Source organism: Homo sapiens, chromosome 8 (genome assembly GCF_000001405.40).
Source record: "Homo sapiens chromosome 8, GRCh38.p14 Primary Assembly".
NCBI lineage: Eukaryota > Metazoa > Chordata > Mammalia > Primates > Hominidae > Homo > Homo sapiens.
In genome coordinates this window covers 18,148,565-18,164,526 of record NC_000008.11, presented here as the reverse complement: position 1 = coordinate 18,164,526, position 15,962 = coordinate 18,148,565, and the positions used below count along the sequence as shown (strand labels likewise).

Genomic DNA, 15,962 nt, shown 5'->3' with positions numbered 1-15,962 from the left:
CTGAGAAGGCTACTGTCAGATGTATCAAAGACCTTTTATATGTTTTGTTTTTGTTTTCTCTTGCTTATTTTAGGGTCCTTTCTTTTTCCTTGATCATTGAGAGTTTGATAATTATATGAGTTGGGGTAGTCTTCCTTGGGTTGAATCTGCTTGGTGACTTTGACTATCTTATACCTGGTAGTTTATATCTTTCTCTAGGTTTGGAAAGTTTTCTATTATTACTTTTTTGAATAAACTTTCTATTCCTATCTTATTCTCTACTCTCTTTTTAAAACTAATGCCTTAACATCACCCTTTTGAGGCTATTTTCTCTATATCATAAATGTTCCTCATTCTTTTTCATTCTTTTTTGCTTTTTTCTCCTCTATGTATTTTCAAATAGCCTCTCTTTGAGCTCGTGAAGCCTTTCTTCTGCTTGATTAATTCTACTGTTGAGACCTTTCATGCATTTTTCACTATGTCACTTGTATTTTCAGCTCTAGGATTTCTATTTGATTTTTGAAAATTATTTCAATCTCTGCTGAATTTCTCTGATGTTTCTGAGTTGCTTCTCTGTGTCTTTTTGAAGTTTATTAAGCTTCCTCAAAACAGCTATTTTGATTTCTCTGTCTGAAAGGTCACACATCTGCATCTCTCCATGGTTGGTCACTGGTACCTCATGGTACCACTGCTACCTTTTGGGTGAGGTCATAGTTCCCTGAACATCCTTGATGCTTGTGGACATACACTGATGTCTGGGCATTACAGATTTAGGTGTTTATTTTAGCCTTCATAGTCTGGCCTTGTGTTATACCCATCTGTCTTCAGAGTGCCTTCCAGAAATTCAAAGTAAACTGGCTGATAAGTTATCTAAACCTGTAGTCACTGCAGTCATTACAGTACTGGAGAGTGCCCTAAGACCGTATATGCCGTGATTCTAGTGCAGACTCCTAGATATTCAGCGCTGATAGACTTGAAGAACAGGAAGAATTCCCTGAGTTCCTAGGGAAAGTCTCTTGCTCACTTTTCTTTCTTTCCCCCAAGCAGAAGGAGTCTCTCTGTGTTGTGCTGCCTGGAGTTGACGAAGGGCAACAAAGACACTTCTGTAGCCACTAGAGCTGGCCCAAAGCTAGGTTGCATCTGAAGCCCATGGCCTTCCAGACAAGTACTACAGTCACCCAAGGCCTGCAGTCATTTCTGCCTGACTACCACTGATGTTTATTCAAGGCCCAAGGCCACTTTAGTCAGCTGGTGGTGAAGTCTGCCAAGACTTAGGTTTGTCCTGCTTGAGTGGCAGATTCCCTTCAGGCCAAGGGTGGGTCTAGAAGCTCCATATTGGAACAATTGCATGAATTCAGATCTTGAGGTTCTGCCTAGTGCTGCATTGTTCTGTGGTGGGTGGGGCTGGTCCCTTCTACTTTTTCCTCTCCTTATTCAGAGTAGAAGGATTCTGTCTCCACGCTGCACTGCCTGGTGTTGGGGAAGAGGCGACAAGAGCACTCCCATGACCTCCACAGCTGGTATCACTCTGGGTCATACCACAAGCCCACAGCCTCCCAGAACAGTGCATCACTGGGGTTTACCCAAGGACCATGATTGCTATAGCTTGGCCACCACTGAAATTTATTCAGGGCGGGGCCCAAGGCCACTTCATTCAGCTGTTGTTAAAGGGGACTTGTACTCAGGTTTCTCCTGATAGGGTAGGAGATTTCCGTCTGGCCTGTGGCAGGTCTGAATTCTTCCTCCATGGGCACTGGCCTGGAATCAGGAGCAGTGGAATTCTTTTTTTTTTTTTTTTTTTTTTTTTAGACAGAAGCTCACTGTGTCACCCAGGCTAGTGTACAGTGGTGTGATCTCGGCTCACTGCAACCTCCACCTCCTGGGTTCAAGCAATTCTCCTGCCTCAGCCTCCTGAGTAGCTGGGATTACAGGCGCTCACCACCACACCCAGCTAATTTTTGTATTCTTGGTAGATACCGGGTTTTGCCATGTTGGCTAGGCTGGTCTCAAACTCCTGACCTCAAGTGATCCACCTGCCTCGGCCTCCCAAAGTGCTGGGATTACATGCGTGAGCCACTGCGCCTGGCCAATAGCAGTGGAATTCTGTTGAGTGCTTTGTACCACTGTGGTGAGATTGACACTGAGTTCCAATGCAGTCTCCCACTCACTTCCTTCTCTTTGTCTTAAGTATATAGATTCTGTCACTGCAATGCACTGCCTGGGGGTGGGGTAGAGTGGTATAGGTAATGTAAGACTATCCTTCATATCTTCTTCAACGTATCTTTTCTTGTTATTATGCAAAAATCAAGTACTACAATCTCTCACCTGATTTTTTAGTTTTTGTGAAGGTACTTTCTGTTTTAGATAGTTGCTCATTTTGATCTTCCTTCGCAGGGCTGGTGGGGTTACTCACTGGAGGTTTCTATTTATCCATCTTCCATTTGCTTTATAGTGTTGAATAATATTCCATTATCTGTATGTACCACAGTTTATCCATTCACCTACTGAAAGGCATCTCAGTTGCTTAATGTTTTGGTAGTTATGAATAAACTTGCTATAAATATTTGCGTTCACGTTTTTATGTGGACTAAGTTTTCAACTTCTTTGGTTAAATACCGGTGAGCACAGTTGCTAGTTCATAAGGGAAGAGTATGTTTAATTTTATGAGAAACCACCAAACTGTCTTCAAAAGTGGATGTGGCATTTTGCATTCCTGTCTGCACTGAGTGAGAGTTTCTTTTGCTCCACATTTCTGCCAACATATGTTGTTGTCAGTGTTCTGGATTTTGCCCTTTCCAGTGGATGTGCTGTGGTATCACCCTGTGGCTTTAATTCACACTTCCCTGATTATTATTCATATACCTATTTGTCATCTGTATATCTTCTTTGGTGAGATATATATTAAAGTCTTTGGCCCATTTTTAAAATTACATTGTTTGTGTTCTTATTTTTGAGTTTATGAGTTCTTTGTATGTTTTGAATAACAATTTTTTATCTGACAGATCTTTTGCAAATATTTTCTCCCACTCTGTAGCTTGTCTTTTTGTTCTCTTGACAATGTCTTCTGCAGAGCAGTTTTTTATTTTAATGAAGTTCAGCTTATCAGTTCTCTCCTCCATGGATCATGCCTCTGGTGTTTCATTTAAGAAGTCGTCACGAAACCCAACGCAATCTAGATTTTCTTCAATGTTACCTTCTAGAAGTTTTATAGTTTTTTATTTTACATTTATATCTGTGATCCATGTTGAGTCAGTTTTTGCAAAGAGTGTAAGTTCTGTGTCTAGATTCATATTTTTTTCATGTAGATTGTCTGAACACCGTTTGTTGAAAGGTTATCATTTCTCAACTGAATGCCTTTACTCCTTTGTCAGAGATCAGTTTGCTTTTATTAATCTGGATCTGTTTCTGGACACTCTATTCTCTTCCATTGATCTATCTGCCGTTTCTTTTGCCAATACCACATTTTCTTGAATACTGTAGCTTTCTGGTGTCTTAAAGTAACACAGCATCAGTTTTTAATTTCTTCATATAAATTTTAAAATGAGTTTGTTAATATCTATGAAATAACTAGCTGATATTTTGGTGGAGAATGTAATAAATTTATAGATCAAGTTGGGAAGAACTGAAATCATTACAGTATTGAGTCTTACTCTCCAGGAACATGAAATATCTATTTATTTAGTTCTTCCTTTTTATTGTTTATCAGAGTTCTATAGTTTTCTTCACATAGATCTTGTACATATTTTGTTAGATTTGTACCCAAGTATTTTATTTTTGTATGCTAATATAAGTAATATGATATTTTACATTATAGATTCAATTGTTCATTGCTGGTATATAAAAAGGTGATAGCCTTTTTGTATCAACCTTGAACCGTACATCCTGCTATAATTGCTTATTAGTTCCAGGAGGTTTTTTGATAAATTATTTTGGACTTTCTACATAAACATGTCATCTGCAAAGGAAGATAGTTTTATTTTTTTTCTTAATCTATATACATTTTTCTTTCATTCATTTTCTCATTGCATTAGCTAGGACTTCCAGTATGATAAATGGTGAAATGGAATATCCGTGCCTTTTTCTTCATCTTAGTGGGAAAGCTTTTAGTTTCTCACTATCAAGTATGTTAATTGTAGGACTTTTGTAGATATTCTTTACCAAGTTGAGGATGTTCTCTACTATTCCTAGTTTACTGAGAGTTTTTATTATGCCTGAGTGTTGGATTTTCACAAGTACTTTTTCTGCATTTATTGATAAACTAATGATTTTTCTTCTCTATCCTGTTGATGTGATGGATTACATTATTGATTTTCTAATATTAAACCAGTCTTCCATAACAGGGATAAATCCATCTTGGTCATGGTGTATAATTCTTTTCACATTGTTGGAATCTATTTGCTAAAGTTTTGTTGAGGATGTTTGCGTCTATATTCATAGAAAATGTTGGTTTGTAGTTTTCTTTGCCTTTAATATCTTTGTCTGATTTTGGTATTAGGTTAATAATGGGCACATAGAATGAATTAGGAAGTATTACCTCTGCTTCTATCTTCTGAGAGAGACTGTAGAGAATTGGCATAATTTCTGTCTTAAATGTTTGATAGAATTTAAGAGTGAATGTGTCTATGCCTGATGCCTTCAGCTTTGGAAAGTTATTACTGATTCAGTTCTTTTAAAATATATATATTTAGGTTTATTCAGAATGTTTATTTCTCTTTGAATGAGTTTTGGCAGATTGCACCTTTCAAGGAATTGGTACATTTCATCTAGGTTATCAAATTAGTGGGCATATATTATTCATGGTATTCTTTTATTATTATTTTCGTGTCCGTGAGATTTGTAGTGATGTCTGCTACTTCATTGCCGGTATTACTCATTTGTGTCTTTCCTCTTTTTTCTCAGTTACGTTGGCTAGAGCCTTATCAGTTTTATTTTTCTTTGCAAAGAACCAGCTTTTGGTTTCATTGCTTTTCTTTACCGATTTCCTGCTTTCAATCTCAAGCAGTTATTTATTTTCTTCTGCTTCCTTTGGGTTAATTTGCTCTTCTTCTAATTTCCTAAGGTAGAAATTTAGGGGATTGATTTTATATATCTCTTCTTTTTTAATACAGGTATTTGATGCTATAAATTTCCCTCTAAGCACTGCTTTCACTGCATCCTACAAATTTTGATGATACATTGGGCTTTCATTTTCATTAAGTCAAGGTTATATATGCAAATCATTGTCCACATCAACACCATGGAGCATTTCCTCTCTATTTTCATCTAAAAGTTGTGCAGTTTTAGGTCTTATATTTAAGGCTCTGATTCATTTTGAGTTGATTTTGGTATATGGTGTGAGACAAAGGTCTAATTCACTCTTTGACATGTGGATGTCCACTTTTCTCCACACCATTTATTAAAGAGGTAGCCTTTCCCTCATTGTATTCTTGGCATCTTTGTCAAAGTCAATTTGGCTGTAAATGTGTGGATTTGTTTCTGGGCTCTTTACTATGTTCCGTTGCTCTCTGTGTCCATTTTTATCCCCTTTTGATATTTTGGTTTTTGTTTTGTTTTTTGAGATGCTGTATTGTTCTGTTGCCCAGGCTGGAATGCAGTGGTACGGTCTCAGCACACTGCAGCCTCCACCTCCTGGGTCCAAGTGATCCTCCTGCCTTAGCCTCCCAAGTAGCTGGGACTACAGGCACCTGCCACCACGCCCAGCTAGTTTTTGTATTTTTAGTAGACTTGGGGTTTCACCATGTTAACCAGGCTGGTCTGAAACTGCTGACCTCAGGTAATCTGCCCACCTTGGCCCCTGAAAGTGCTGGGATTATAGGCATGAGCCACCGCACCCAACCTGATATTGTTTTGATTACTAAAGCTTTATAGTAGATTTTGAAATCGGGTAGAGTGATGTCTCTACCTTTGTTCTTTCTATTCAACACTGCTTTGTCAATCCAGAAATTTTTGTGGTTTTAAAGAAATTTTAGAATTATCTTTTCTATGTTTGTGAAAAATTTCTTTGGAATTTTGGCAGGGATTGTATTGAATTTGTAGATTGCTTTGAATAGTATAGAATATTTTACGATATCCTTTCTTCCAACACATAAACATGAGAATTCTTTCCATTTATTTGTCTTCGTTTTTATCAATGTTTTATAGATGTCAATGTACAAATCTTTCACCTACTTGGTTAAATTTATTTCTAAGTATTTTATTTTTGTGGCAATTATAAATGAGATTTTGTTGTTAGTGTAGAAACACTACTGATTTTTGTATGTTTGTTTATTTTTCTAAAACTTTACAGAATTTATTTGTTAGTTTTAACAGTTTTATAGTGAAGTCTAAAGTGTTTTGCCCATATAAGACATTGTCATCTGCGAACAGAGACAATTTAACTTCTTCTTTCCTCATTTAGATGTCTTTTACATGGGTCATAATCCCAATAGACAGAATCCAAACATTATAATCCCTAATGTTGAAATCCTTAAAGATCAAAATCTCTAAAGTCTAAAATTCGTAACATCTAAAGTCCTGAAAATCACAACCACAGGACTGTTAAGGCAGAAATATTATTTGCCTTTGTCCTTTTGAAGAAAAAACGGGTTTCAGTTAAATTCCCAAACCATAATGACAGATTTGGAATTAGGTGCAACCAAAACTTCTAAAAGTGAATTTCAATGTGTTATCAATAAAGTTGGTTTTTTCAAGTCAGCACAGTACACTTGGTGAAAAATTCAGATGAGTGAATTGGCCATGTAATATGGCAACGATGTAAACTTCAGTTTAAAAATGCATCATTTGCCTGAGTTGGCATTCCTTTCAGCTGATGACATGCCAAAAGCTTTTAATAAATTAGCCCCATTTGCCTGAAGAAGCCAGTGAAGTTACTGACTGGTTTGAAAATAATTATGCGCAGGGCAGGTAAAAAGACACTTAGACAATGGTGTTGTATTTAATACCGGTATTATTTCTACCAAATTTGTGGTCTGTATAAAAGGGCATGCAGGATGGTTTCTGTGTGCCCAAAACAACAGAGAAGCATGGCACAGAAGATGAGACAATCTAATAGGGAATGCCGATGCCAGCGGATATTAAAGAATTTCAAAAGAGCGGGACCACATAGAAAATGAATGTGAATGTTTTTCCTGAGGAAAAGCATGTCCAAAAAGGAAAAAAAGGTAGTCATTTATTGTGTTGCAAGACTTCAAATATAGTTAATGATTATGAAAGTTGACCAACTCTTATGGACAATCTTCATGCAATTGCCCATAATCTTTTTTTTATTTTTGGTGTGGTGGGTACAGGGTCTCACTCTGTCACCCAGACTGGAGTGCAGTGGCACAATCTCAGCTCACTGCAACCTCCACCTCCTGGCAATTGCCCATAATCTATGCCTTTAATATACTTTTTCTTTTTAGCTTTTTTTTTTTTTTTTTTTTGCTTTTGGCTTTGCTTTTCCTTTTTTAAGTTTTTTCCCATTATTTTAGATTGTTATCATTATTTTTTACAATTCACCGTGCTTTGTATTTCACCGTCACATCACTTCCAGTATGGGAAGTATAAATTGTGTAAAGACTTTCAGAAAGTTGATTTATTTTATGCATTTCTTGCAAATATGACTTCATGAGGGTGCATTTATACAACATTGACTGTGTGTAAGCATTGTGCATGTGGATAAAAATGTTGAAATCATCAGTAAATGAAGAGATGTCCTTTTGTACAGCTACTTTTGTGAAAGATAAAATTTTTCGAAATCTTGGCTCTTTGGGCAACTGGTGCAGTGGTGATGTATGGTGATCCATTGTGGGTTTTTTTTACGAATTTCGTCAAAAGACTTAGGTTGTCTGTCACGTTATTTCAGATGACTGCTCTTATAAAGCTAGGTGCACCAACCTACTATTACCAATCATAGTGATATGCATTTATACATATCACCTTTGATTTATTTCTTTATGAATATGGTCTATCTGCTCATTATCATTATATCCATGGAATGTCATTAGTATATCTGAGTCTTTATGCTTGCAAAAACGTCTATGTTATTATTGCCTATTTTATTGTACAAAGTAGCCTAGAAAATGTTCTGTCATGTTGTATATATTTCTTAAATAAAACCCCTATTAAAAATTAAATAAGTATCTCTTAAATAATTTGTGTTATTTTTTCCAGAATCATATTTTTGGGATTTTGGTCTTTCAGGGTTGTGATTTATGGAATTTTAGACTTTAGAAATTTGATCTTTCACAGTTTCAACATTTGGGGTTTTGGTGTTCTGAATTGTGTCTTCCAGGATTATAATTGGCTCCCATTTTGTTTCTTTCTCTTCCCCAATTTCTCTGACTAGAATTTCCAGTACTGTGTTGGATAGAAGTGGCAAGAGTTGGTATCCTTGTCTTATTCTTGATCTTAAAAGAAAAACTTTCACATTTTCATTGCTGAGTATGATGTTAGCTGTGGGCTTGTCATATGTGGCGTTTATTATGTTGAGATACAGTTCTTCTATACCTAACTTGAGAGTTTTTAACATGAAGGGATGTTGATTTTTGTCAAATGCTATTTTTGCATCATTTAAGATGATGATATGTTTTTGCTCTATTATGTTAATGTGGTATATCACATTTATTGATTCGCCTATGTTGAACCATCCCGTATCCCAGAAACAAATCACATTTGATGATAACAAATGATTCTTTTAATGTGCTATTGATTTGAGGTTCGTACTAATTGATTGTGGAATTTTGCATGTATGTTCATCAGGGTCATATGCCTGTAATTTTATTTCCTTGTCTGGCTTTTATATCAGGGTAATGCAGACGTCACAAAAGGAATGTGAAAGTATTTCCTTGTATTCGATATTTGGAAGAGTTTGAGAAGGACTGGTATTAGTTCTTCTTTACATATTTAGTAGAATTCATTAGTGCCACCATCAGAGCCTGAGATTTTTATCCTTTTATTTTTAGTTGGCATGTAATAATTGTACCTATTTATGAGATACAGAGCGTTATTTGGATATGCGTATGCAATATGTAACGATCAAATCAGGAAAATTAGCATATCCATCACCTCAAAGAAGTATCATCTCTTTGTGTTTTGAACATTCAGAATCCTCTCTTCTAGCTTTTTTATAACATATAATTAATTATAGTTAACCATATTTACCCTATAATACTACGTAGCAACATAACTCCTTCCTCCTATCTAGATATAATTTTGTATCCCTTAACAAACCTCTCCCCAGCCTTCCCTCCCCCGACAGTTCCTGGTCTCTAATAACCACAGTTCTACTCTGTACTTTCAGGACTTTAAATTTTTAGCTCTCACATGTGAGATAAAGTGGTATTTATCTTTCTGTGCCTGACTTATTTCACTTAGCATGCTCCAGACTCATCCGTGTTGCTGTGAATGACGGGATTTCATTCCTTTTATAGTTGAATAGTATTCCATTAGGTATATAGTGTATACCATATTTTTAATCCATCTGTTGTCGGATATTGAAGTTGATTCCTTATCTTAGCTATTGTGAATAGTGCTTCAGTAAACGTGGAGCTGGGGTGGGGGCAGGGTGAAGACAGTCCTCTGCTATTCTGATTTTCTTTCCTTTGAATAGATTTCCAGTGGTGGGATTGCTGGATCATATAGTTGTTCTACTTCTAGATTTTTGAGACATCTCCTGTCTGTATTGCATAAGGTCTGTACTACTTTACATTCCCATCAAGAGTGTACAAGTGTTCCACCTTATCCACATCTACACCAGCATCTGTTATTTTTTGTCTTTTTTAGAATAGACATTTTAACTGGGGTGAGATGATATCTCGTGGTTTCGATTTGCATTTCCCTGCTGACTTGTGGTGTTGAACATTTATTTCATATATTTTTGGCTGTTTGTATGCCTTTTATTTTTATTTGTATTTTGTGAGGAATGTCTATTCAGATCCTTTGCCAGCTTTTTGAGCAAATTATGTGGGTGTTGCTATCAAGTTGTTTGAGTTCCTCGTATATTTTGCGTATTTGCCCCTGGTTACATGATTAGTTTGCAACTATTTTCTCCCATTCTACAGATTGTCTCTTCACTCTGCTGATTGCTTCCTTTGCTGTGGAGAAGCTTTTTAGTTTGACATAGTCCTTCTTTTATTTTCTTGACAGTGCTTTTGAAGTCTTAGTTATAAAATCTTTAGCTAGATCAATGTCCTGATGTTTTTCCTATGTTTTTGCCTTATAGTTTTACAGCTTATGGAGTTACATTTAAGTCTTTACTCAATTTTGAGTTAATTTTTATATAGGGTGAGAGATGCAGGTCTAGTTTTATTCTTCTGCATGTGGATATCTAGTTTTCCTGGTACAATTTATTTTCTGCTTCTGTAAGTTTGACTATTTCAGATACCTCATATAAGTAAAATTGTGCAGTGTTGTCCTTCTATACTGACTTATTTCACTTATGTCTATCCATGTTTTTGCAAATAATGGACTATCCTTATTTCAGGCTAAATACCACTCCATTGTATGTATATACCATAATCTCTTATCCATTCCTCTGTTGATGGACATTTAGGTTGCTTCCATATTATGGCTGTATTAGGGTTCTCTAGAGGGACCGAACTAATAGGAGATATATATATATTATATAATATATAAATAAAGAGGGGTTTATTAAGTAGTATGAACTCACATGATCACAAGGTCCCACAACAGGCTGTCTGCAAGCTAAGGAGCAAGGAAGCCAGTCCAGGTCCCAAAGCTAATGAATTTGGAGTTCAATGTTTGAGGGCAGGAAGCATCCAGCACAGGAGAAAGATGTAGGCTGGGAGTCTAAGCCAGTCTAGACTTTTCTTGTTTTTCTGCCTGCTTTATGTGCTGGCAGCCGATTAGATGGTACCCACCCAGATTAAGGGTGGGTCAGCCTTTCCCAGGCCACTGACTCAAATGTTAATCTCCTTTGGCAACAGTCTTACAGACACACCTAGGATTAATACTTTATATCCTTTAATCCAATCAAGTTGACACTCAGTATTGACTATCACTATGGCTACTATATATAATGCTGCAATAAACATAGGAGTGCATACATCTGTTTGAGATCCTGATTTCATTTTTGGGGATATATACCCTGGAGTAGGATTGCTGGATCATATAGTAATTATATATATATATATATATTTTAGGAAGCTTCATACTATTTTCCATAGTTCACACTAAAATTAAGAATGATTTTGGCCAGGCACTACGGCTCACATCTGTAATCCCAGCACTTGGGGAGGCTGAGGCCAGTGGATCATTTGAGCTCAGGAGTTTGAGACCAGCCTGGACAACATGGCAAAGTTTTGTCTCTACAAAAAATACAAAAATTATCTAGGCACAGTGGCACACACCTGTAGTCCCAGCTACTTGGGAGGCTGAGATGGGAGGATCGCCCAAGCCCAGGAGGTCAAGGTGGCAATGAACTGTGGTCACACCACTGCACTGCAGCTTCGGTGATGGAGTGAGACACTGTCTCAAAAAAAAAAAGAATGATTTAAACAGTACAGTAATACAGTATCAGCTATTTGTCTTTACATTTACCTTTATAAAGTGAGTTTATACTTTCATATACTTTTATGTTATCATTTAGCATCCTTTCGTCTCAACCGTTAGATACTTTTATGTTGTCATTTAGCATTCTTTTGTTTCAACATGAGAATCTCTCCTTAGCATTTCTTTTGAGACAGATGTGATGGTGATGAATTCCCTCAGGTTTTATTTATCTGGGAACATTTTATTTTATTTTATTTTATTTTATTTTATTTTATTTTTATTTTGAGACTAGGTTTCCTCTGTTACCCAGGTCAGAGTGCAGTGGTGTGATCTCGGCTCACTGCAGCCTCAACCTACTAGGCTCAAGCTATCCACTTAAGCCTCCCAAGTAGCTGGGACTACAGGTGCACACCACAATGCCTGGTTTATTTTTGTATTTTTTGAAGGGATGAGGTTTCACCATGTTGCTGAGGCTGGACTCGAACTCTTGAGCTCAAGTGTTCCACCATCCTCAGCCTCCCAAAGTGCTGGGATTACAAGCATGAACCACCATGACCAGCATTATCTAGGAACATCTTTATTTTCTCCTTCATTTTGAAAAGACAGTTTGCTGGGTATAGAATTCTTGGTTGCCATTTTTTTTCCCCCTCTTAGCCCTCTGAATATATCATCATTCGCGCTTCTGGCCTGCAAGGTTTCTGCTGAGATATCCACTGACAGTCTTATTAGAGTCCCCTTTTTTATTTTTATTTTTTGAGATGGAGTCTTGCTCTGTCACTCAGGCTAGAGTGCAGTGGCATGATCTCAGCACAGTGCAACTACAGGTCCTTTTTATGTGATGGGTCATTTCATTTAAAGTGTACTTTCTCTTACTGCTTTCAAAATGTTCTCTCTGTCTTTGACTTTTAAAGATTAATTTAGTTAATTTTATTGATGCCTAATAATTATAGATATTTATAGGGTGCATCTGATATTTTCATACATGTATACAATGTTTAATGATCACATAAGGGTCATCAGCACATCCATCACTTCAAATATTTATCATTTCTTTGTGTTTGAAACATTCCAAATCTTCTCTCCTAGCTATTTTGAAATATACAATAAATTATTCTTAAGTATAGTCACCCTACTGTGCTATCAAACACTAGAACTTATTTCTTCTATCTAACTGTATTTTTGTGACAATTCAATTATAACGTGCCTTGAAGCAGACTTCTTTGGGTTCTGTTTGGTGTCTGTCTGGATTCCATTTGGTGTCTTTTGAGTTTCATGAGTCTGGATATCCATTTCCATCCCAAAGTATGGGATTTTCTTGTCATTATTTTCTAAAATAAGCTTTGCGCCTCTCTCTCTCTCTTTCTTTTTTTTTTTTTTTTTTTTTTTGAGATGGAGTCTCGGTTGCCAGCTGGAGTACAGTGGCATGATCTCAGCTCACTGCAACCTCCACTTCCAGGGTTCAAGTGATTCTCCTGCCTGACCCTCCTGAGTAGCTGGGACTACAGGCACATGCCACCACACCCAGCTAATTTTTGTATTTTTAGTAGATACGGGGTTTCACCATGTTGGCCAGGATGGTCTCAATCTCTTGACCTCGTGATCCACCCACCTCAGCCTCCCAAAGTGCTGGGATTACAGGTGTGAGCCACCACAGCTGGCTGCCTCTCTCTCTTTTTTCTACTTCTTAGGCTCCCATAATATGTATACTGGTTTGCTTGACAGTGTTTCATAAGTCTCTTAGGCTTTCATCACTTTTTTTTATTTTTTTTTTCTTCTGATTAGATCATTTCAAATGACCCATCTTCAAGTTCATTGATTTTTTTTCTTACTCTTGATGAATTCTGCTGTTGAAGCTCTTTATTGAATTTTCAGTTTAGTTATTATATTCTTCAGCTCCAGAGTTTCTGTTTGGTTATTATTCACTTTTTTTTTTTTTTTTTTTTTTTTTTTGAGACAGAGTCTTACTGTCTCCCAGACTGGAGTGCAGTGGCGCAATCCTGGCTCACTGCAAGCTCCACCTCTCAGATTCACGTCATTCTCCTGCCTCAGCCTCCTGAGTAGCTGGGACTACAGGCGACTGCCACCATGCCCGGCTAATTTTTTGTATTTTTAGTAGAGATGGGGTTTCACCATGTTAGCCAGGATGGTCTCGATCTCCTGACCTCGTGATCTGCCCACCTCAGCCTCCCAAAGTTCTGGGATTAGAGGCTTGAGCCACCGCGCCCGGCCATTATTTACATTTTTTATCTCTTTGTTCATTTTCTCATATTGTTCATGTATCATTTTTCTCTGATTTTGTTTAGTTGTTTATGTCCTTTTGTAGCTCACTGAGCTTCTTAAGATGATTATTTTAAATTGTTTATCATGCTATTTATAGATCTTTATGTCTTTAAGATTGGGTACAGAAGATTTATTTTGTTCCTTTGCTTGTGTCATATTTTTCTGATTCTTCGTGTTCCTTGTAACTTTGCATTGGTGTCTGTGCATTTAAATAAGCAGCCACTTTTTCTAGTCTTTACAGATTGGATTTAGCAGCAGAAAACCTTTAACAATCAGCCTGTCTAGAGATTTTGTATATCTCTCGAAACTATTTTATAAATGTACACATTCTGCTACTATCTCTTTTGCCTTGGGGAGAAGTCTCAGGATTGTGCTTCTTCTTCCAAACCTGCAGAGTTGTGCTGGATGCTAAATGCTGCCTTATCCTTTTCTCTAGTACAGTGCATTGATATGCTAAAGCATTAGGTACAAGCTCAACTTCCCTTCCTCTCTCCTGAAAAGAAAATTCAGGATTGTGTGCATTTCCCCAGTTGCATGCCAGGTACTGAAAGTCATCCTCTCCTTTTTCCTAGGGCAGTGCACTGAGATGCCAGGATGTTGGGTGTAAGCTCCACTTCTCTCTATCCCTCCTGCAGAAGTAGTCTCAGGATTGTGTGACTTCTCCCAGTCCTGCAGAACTAAGCTGGCTGCTGAGATACGTGTTGTCTGCGGATCTGTGACATCTGCAGAAATGCATACTATCTACTAAGAACTGTGACATCCACTGAGATCCTTGCCACTGCTAGGGCCCATGCTTAGTGCTGGGGGTTGTGCCAGCCACTAGGGACTGGACTGGCAGCTGCAATCTGCCCTGGCAGCTGTGGTCAGCACCAACAACTGCAATTAGTGCAATAAGTGCTGGCAGCTGCAACCCATGCTGGATATCCAGTGCTGCATGGCTGTCTGGACTTGCAGGCTTCTGAAAGTCTCATCAGTTGCAGGGAGACCCACCATGGACTGGGAGTTGTATGCTGGATCCATGAAGGCTGCTCTTAGGTGTGTGGGGGCTGTTGGAGGCCATGTGGCTGCTGGGGCCCTCACTGGCTGTTGGAGGCCATGCCAAATGCTGAGAGCTACCTATCCCAAATCTGTTATTAGCTATGCATAGGTATTCCAACTATGCTGGATCCTTCAGTTCTCTGAATGAGTCAAGACAGGAGCATTTCTCTTGGCCCTGTGCCCTACAAGGTGGGGATGTTGGATGCACTCTCGCTTTCCTTTCTTCTTGGAAGAAATTGTGGGCCAAGTGGATCTCCCTCAGTGGTGAGCTATGCCAACTTGAAGGAGGGAGAAATGTGAGCAAAGTGAAACTGCTCTTCCTACCTGTTTCAATGTGGCCATTTTTTGGTTCTGTGCTCTTTTAGGATGCTGCAACTTCTACACTGGATTCTGGTATTCTCACAAAGCTGAAATGTGTGCTACAAGAAGGGATACAGATATCCCTAGTCACAGACAGCCTGAGTAGATTAGAACTCAGTCTGGAAACATGTACATTGGACAAGGGACATAAGAGAACCATCTTCCTGGACAGTATAGGAAGAAATAAAGGTCTATAGCAGAGCCTGGAATGGAGAAGGAAACATGAGATTAGCGGTCATTAGATCCCTTTCCCACCTCAAATTCTCTCACTCCTCATACGTCCCTATGTCATGCTCACATGTCCACCGCACACCTTTGTGCATCTTTTTTCTGCTAAAAATTCCTTTTCTCCGTTTCCTCTTTTGCAAGTCGTATAAGTCTTCTCACTTAAGATCCAGTTTGTATGTTGTTTCTATGACTCTCGTAATGAAGTTGCTTTCTCTTCTTACTCCCAGAGTCTTTGTATACATTTTTACTATAGAAGCAACCACATTTTGGTAAAACCATTTACAAGTTTTTCCACTATTAGAGATGGTACGTTTTATGTCAAATGTTGTCAATATCTATCTGTGGGATCTGGGCCAAGTGGTGTTGCCTCTTTGAGTCTCAGCCTTCTGTGTAGGATGACAAAGATAAACTCGTTGATCCCTCAGGGGCCTTGCAGCCTTATAGTTCTCGTTAATTCCATGGCCCTTTGATCTATAGCAAAACAAGTTGTGCACTTTAAGTGGCTAGTTTTTTGTGTCTTGTGCCATTAATAAGGTCTCTATGGGAGAAAGACCCAAAGCAAAGACCAGAGGCCAGAATTCTGAGGG

At 37.9% G+C, this 15,962-nt stretch overlaps 2 annotated features.

Annotated features, from left to right (window-relative positions):
* Positions 14,169-14,669: an enhancer, noted in NCBI's record as "H3K4me1 hESC enhancer chr8:18007367-18007867 (GRCh37/hg19 assembly coordinates)". NCBI's record gives its function as "activates a minimal SCP1, AML or CMV promoter by ChIP-STARR-seq in naive and primed H9 embryonic stem cells {active_cell/tissue: H9 hESC(naive and primed)}" and the evidence as "EXISTENCE:reporter gene assay evidence [ECO:0000049][PMID:30033119]".
* Positions 14,670-15,170: an enhancer, noted in NCBI's record as "H3K4me1 hESC enhancer chr8:18006866-18007366 (GRCh37/hg19 assembly coordinates)". NCBI's record gives its function as "activates a minimal SCP1, AML or CMV promoter by ChIP-STARR-seq in primed H9 embryonic stem cells {active_cell/tissue: H9 hESC(primed)}" and the evidence as "EXISTENCE:reporter gene assay evidence [ECO:0000049][PMID:30033119]".